Source organism: Homo sapiens, chromosome 9, assembly GCF_000001405.40.
Source record: "Homo sapiens chromosome 9, GRCh38.p14 Primary Assembly".
In the NCBI taxonomy this organism is placed as follows: Eukaryota; Metazoa; Chordata; class Mammalia; order Primates; family Hominidae; genus Homo; species Homo sapiens.
This window is the reverse complement of record NC_000009.12, coordinates 120,243,435-120,249,733: the sequence shown is the minus strand read 5'-3', so window position 1 is coordinate 120,249,733 and position 6,299 is coordinate 120,243,435. Positions and strand designations below refer to the sequence as shown.

At 42.8% G+C, this 6,299-nt stretch overlaps 1 non-coding gene across 1 annotated transcript; it reads left to right on the top strand.

The window, feature by feature from the left end:
* The first annotated feature begins 4,683 nt into the window (after positions 1-4,683).
* MIR147A (microRNA 147a) lies at positions 4,684-4,755 on the top strand. The gene has a single exon (NR_029604.1). It is a non-coding gene; the product is annotated as a microRNA 147a (primary transcript).
* Positions 4,756-6,299: the final 1,544 nt, after the last annotated feature.

The following is a 6,299-nucleotide window of genomic DNA, read 5'->3' as shown; positions in this document are numbered from 1 at the left end:
AGCTGTGTGACCATGAATAAATGACCTAACCTCTCTGTGCCTCAGTTTCCTTTTCTGTGAAATGGATTTACTGATAACAATCTCAAAAGGTCTGGTCAAGAAAGCATGAGATCATAGATTGAAAGTGCTTAGCACGGTGCCTGAAACATCATAAGTCTTGAACAAATGTTAGCCATTGCTATTTTTCTAAGGTTTTTCCAAGAAAGTTTCTAAGAGCTTATTCAGGCACTATCACATTGCCCCTAGAAAGGCTGGTTTCCATAAAATAATAAAATAAAACAATACAAACTAAAACAAAGCAGCAGTTTGGGGAGGGAGGAGGTTATCTCCTAGAGGACAAATTGATCTCACCTGTAGCTGCAATGAATGACTACCTTGATGGGATCCTTTGTGGTGAACCACCAAATGACCTTTCTCTAGCATTTCTCTGGCTCTGTTACAGATAGACGCTGGAGAATGCATTACCATTTTGATGATTACTTCTTTGGGCCTCAAATGCATTTTTCCTGAGGTTTAAGATAGAAATACTTAAATAAGCACCCATTAATGCTGGAGCTCCTACTTTTCCACAAGCTCTACTCTGGGCCAGTTCTGTGCCAGAAGTTTCACATATGCTATGTCCAATTTTCACTGCAAGTCCCCTTGGTGGAAACTACCTGGCAGCCAGCTGAGCTCCAGATTTTAAGAGAATGAGAGATGGTGGCACTGAGGCAGGCATGGGGACAGCAGGATAGAAGCCTACTAGATGCTAGGCACTGCGCCAGGCACCTTGTTTTTGTTATTTCAATGAACTCTCCCAGTGTTTCTGAGAGGTGGAACGTGATTCCCATTTTGCAGATGAAGAAACTGAAGCTTAGAGAAATAACATGCCTGGATCCTAAAGCTGGTAATTATTGGCTCCAGGATTTGAACTACAAAACGACTTCATTTTTCATGTCTCCTTCTGTCTTATAGAAAGGAAAATGGTAAGGGTGAAGTGGATGACCCCAAAAATATATTTGTGACTTCAACATTCCATGGAGATAATGAAAAGGAGAGGTAAAACAGTCCTGGAGGAGTAATTAGTGTCCAGCTTCTGCTTATCAAAGCTTTGCCAGGAGGCTTGGTCCACATGATTCCAGGATTCATTTGTTCACTTACACAGTCAGCTCTTCACTATCCATCAGCACCAAATGTTGGAGAGTTTGCTAGTTTCCATCTAATGTCCATCCTTTCTTTCTTTGCAACAGAATCTCAGTCTTATTTGTAATGACAAAATGCCCAGCTGAAAGATTATATTTCCCAGCCTCCTTTTTAGATGTGTCCAAGTGACTGAGTTCTGCCCAATGAGATCTAAACAGATTGTGTGAAGTTTTCACGAAGGCATCTTCTTGAGGTGCCTTAAGAAGATGATCCAAATGATTGACCTTCTTTGTACCCTCCTTCTTCCTGCACCCCCTGCCCCGGGCAGGATGGCCAGAATGCCAGCAGCCACTCTGGATAGTGAGGAGGATTTGCAAATGGAAGCCACATTACATATGATGGGAAAAACAATAGAAGTTTGGATCCCCAATGTCTGCTTCTTTTACTTGAGAGTAGTTTCTTGTTGAAACTACAGTTATACTGGGTTTTCAGTGATAAGTAGTCAAACCTGAGCTTAATGGCTATATCTACTGTGTAGAGAGAATGGTTGTAGGCACCATGGGGGATACAGGATGAATCTGTCATGGAAAGTCCATGCTCAGAAAGCTCCTTGTCTAGAAGAGATGAAACAAGGATGCAAGACAGGATAAGAGCAGAGAGAAGTCAGTGAGTGCTGAGAGAGCTGTGAGTGTCTGGAGGTCGGGGGCAACATTTGACTAGGGATGTCTCCTAGAGAAGGATATTTTGGGTCTTAACAAGCAATGGGCTAGCAACCTCCATGCAGAAGGAATGACATGGGCAGACCCGTGTGCAGAGCACAGGGCATAATTGTGAAATGGTGAGTTTGTCTGTATTCATGAAGAATGAGTGATATGACCTGAAAGAAGCTTTGGGGAGTCAGGGAAGGTCAGAGCAGGAGGCACCTTCATCACCTCATTGTATCTGATCATCGACATCTCCCTCCCACTAGCTCCATCCACCATGCTTGCAGCGAGGCCAGCCTCAGCCTCCTCCCAACTCCAGATTCCGACCAAGAAGAAGAAACTTGATTCCATGTCTTTGCTCTTGTGAATAGTGCTGCGATGAACATACGTATGCATGTGTTTTTAATTTTTTTTTTTTTGAGATGGAGTCTCACTCTGTCACCCAGGCTGGAGTGCAGTGGTGCGATCTCAGCTCACTGCAACCTCTGCCTCCCACGTTCAAGTGATTCTCCTGCCCCAGCCTCCCGAGTAGCTGGGACTACAGGCGCATGTCACCATGCCCAGCTAATTTTTGTATTTTTAGTAGAGACGGGGTTTCACCATGTTGGCCAGGCTGGTCTTGAACTCCTGACCTCAGGTGATCCACCCACCTTGGCCTCCCAAAGTGCTGGGATTACAGGCGAGAGCCACTGCACCTAGCTGTATGTGTTTTTACGGTAGAATGGTTTATATTCCTTTGGGTATATATCCAGTAGTGGGATTGCTGGGTTGACTGATAGTTCTGTTTTTGGTTCTTTGAGGAATCACCACATTGCTTTCTACAATGGTTGAACTAATTTACACTCCCGCCAGCAGTGAGTAAGCATTCCCTTTTCTTTACAATCTTGCCAGCATGTTATTTTTTAACTTTTTTTTTTGTTTTTTACAAAAATCCCCTTTAATATGGGAATCTTCAAGCGTATACAATATTAGAGAGAATGGCATAATAAAACCCCATGGTCCCATTGTCTGGCTTTAACAATGGTCAACTCCTGACTAATCTTGATTTATCTACACTCTTATTTCCAGAATGTTTCAAAATGTTATATGTTGATTGATCCATAATAGCCATTCTGACTGGTGTGGGATGGTATCTCACTGAGGTTTTGATTTGCATTTCTGTAATGATGATTAATACTGAGTGTGTTTTTATATGTATTTTGGCCACATGTATGTCTTCTTTTGAAAAGTATCTGCTTATGTCCTTTGCCCACTTTTTCATGGGGTTGTCTGTTTTTTTGCTTGTACATTTGTTTAAGTTCCTTGTAGATTCTGGATATTAGATCTTTGTCAGATGTATAGTTTGCAAATGCTCATCAATGGTAGACTGGATAAAGAAAATGTGGTACATATACACCATGGAATACTATGCAGCCATTAAAAAGAATGACATCATGTCCTTTGCAGGAACATAGATGGAGATGGAGGCCATTATTCTCAGCAAACTAACACAGGAACAGAAAACCAGATACTACATGTTTGCCCTTATAAGTGGGAGCTAAATGATGAGAACAGATGAACCAAAAGGGAGAACAACACACACTGGGGCCTACTTGAGGGAGGAAGATAGGAGAGGGAGCTTCTGAAAAAACAAAAACAAAAACAAAAACAAACAAACAAACAAAAACAAACCTGTTGGGTACTATGCTTAATACCCAGGTGACAAAATAATCTGTATGCCAAATCCCCAAGTCATGAGTTTACCTGTATAACAAACTGGCACATGTGCCCCTGAACCTAAAATAAAAGTTAAAATATTTTAAAAAATACAAAAAAGAAGGAACTTATTTCACTAGTGGTTCTTGTAAACTTTGTAGTGGCTGGAGCCACATCTTTCACTGTCCATTCCTTTTTTAAAAAATACATTTAAAGTTTAAAAAAAATTATGGCAAAATACACATAACATAAAACTTACCATCTTAATCATTTTTAAGTGTGCAGTTCAGTGTCTTTAAGTACATTCACATTGTGCAACCATTACCACCATCCATCTCCAGAATGCTTTTCATTTTCCCGAACTGAAACTGTACACGTTAAACAATCACTCCACATTCCTCCCTCTCCCTACCCACTGGCAACTAGCATCTTACTTTCTGTTTCTATGAGTTTGACTACCTTAGGTACCTTATATAAGTGGAAACATTTAGTGTTTGCCATATTATAACATGCCTATTTCACCTAACATAATGCCCTTAAGATTCCTCTTGCATTGTAACATGCATCACAATTTCCTTCGTTTTCCAAACAATATCCCATTGAAGGTATAAACCCTATTTTGCTTATCTGCTCATCCATTGATGGACACTGGGCACTTGGGTTGCTTCTACCTCTTGGTTATTGTGAATAATGCTGTTATGTACGTGGATTTACATGTCCAGGTCTGTGCTTTCAATTCTTTTGGGCATATACCTAGAAGTGCAATTGCTGGATCATATTTTAATTCTATGTTTAATTTTTTGAGGAATGGCTGTACTGTTTTCCATAGTGGCTGCACCATTTTCTATTCCCATCAAAAGTGGGCAAGGGTTCTGATTCACTATTTTTTTCTGTGTGTGTGTGTGTGTGTGTGTTTTAATAGTAGCCATCCTAATAGTTATGAGGTGGTTGCTGTTCATTCTGTTAGAAAAAGTGATGTAACCATTGATTGGAAAAACAAAAACAAACCCTGCATCTTGAGAGACTGTGGATTCCAATGAGCCTCAGAAGCTCCTGAGAATCAACCGATAACAGCAGCCCACCAAAAAGCAGCAGAAAACCCCAAAGGGCAGCCAAATGAAATGTCTTCACTCCTTTCCTTCCAAAGAGCAAACACTCCCTGAATCTAAAGACAACATTTCTGCACACACACCAGACTATGGAAGCCAGTGTGTGGAAATGCTTCTGCTAGATTCTGAAGGTCTCCTTCCATTTTTGGCCTCTGGAAGAGGAGTTCTATTTTGCCTTCTCAGTGGCATAGTAACAACCACATAATTCAAAAATAAGTTTTCCTGTGCATTTCCTTGTTGAATCTTGCACATTGAGTTTTTTTTTATATTCATGCATTCTTTCATGATGCTTAAATGTTTTCTTCGAAATATCTACTGTATTGATTTGTAAATTAGATAGTCTTCTGTAATAAAATACTACTTTTGCAAAAAAAAAATCTGTTTATATAGTATAGTGGCTGTTGGGAGGGAACTGGAGGGGCAATGTGGGAGGGAGAGAGCCCTTTTGGGAAGGTGCTGCAATGAGCTGAGGGAAGAGATGTGGCCTGGCTAGGGTGGTGGCAGTGAGGACTCATGGGGAGGGAGGTCAACAGACATTTCAGAGACAATCTGCAGGACGTAATGCACAGTCACTGGTCAGGCCTGAGGCTGAGGAGGCAAGAATGCCTCCCATTTTTCTGGCTTCATGGAGAGAGAGGTGGAGAGTCAGGGAATAGAACAGAGGTGATAGTGTTGACTTCCATTTAGCCCTTCAGGGCCCTGCAGGCCACCTGAACTTTCAGTCATGTTCAGTAAGACAAGAGCTTGGGTTTGGGGGAGTGAGGGGGAAAGGAAAGTTGGGGGATGGATTGTAATGGGTCTTGGAGGTGGGCTTTGGTGTGTGAGCTTGACTCTGGAGGATGGACAGCCAGAAGGTGCATGGTGAGGTGCAGGGTGAGAAAACAGCTCTGCACTGGGCCAGGCCACTGGAGGTGGACATGAACATGGAATCCTAGGTCTGAAGGGGCCTTCATCCAGTCATTCCATGGTGCCGATGGGGAAGGCGAATGACTGCCCAAGGTCTTTCAAAGGATTGGTGGGAGAGCAGGGACTGGAATCCAGGTATCCGTGACCTCTGCATCCCTCAGCCCTTCCTGACATCCTCAGGGCACTCCCATCCTGTCATCCTCCCACCCTACTTCTGAGCACACCCATTGTGGGCTGAGGCCCCGTGCCTGCTTTAGACTCAGAGTGCCCTGAGTTCGAGTCCTGTTTCCACTCACAAGCTGGAAGGCTTGGGGTGGTGACCTTTGCTCTGAACTTCACTCTCCTTAACTTCCCTTTCCTCATTGATCACATGGGGACGCTGATGCTTCTATCCCAAGGTGGCCTGGTTTAATGACATAAGGCATGTTAGAGGGCTGGCAGATTGCTTGGCACCTGTGAACACTCAGTAAACAGTGTTGAAGTTGGGTCATTTCAGAGTCAGCCCAGACATCACCTCCTCCAGGAAGGCTTCTTTGGTCTTCTCCCCCTTAATCACACAAGGTCAGGTAAGATCACCTTCCTCTATGCCCCCAAAGCACTGAATTGGGCCATCCTCTCTGTCTGTCTGTCTGAGAACAGGGGCTGGTATTTAACAGTATAGTTTAGTTCTGGCATCTTAGAGATCTGAGTTCAAATACTATCTCTGCCACTTCTTATTTGTGGCATATGAGACGAGTCTCTTAATACCTCTGAGCCTCAGTTT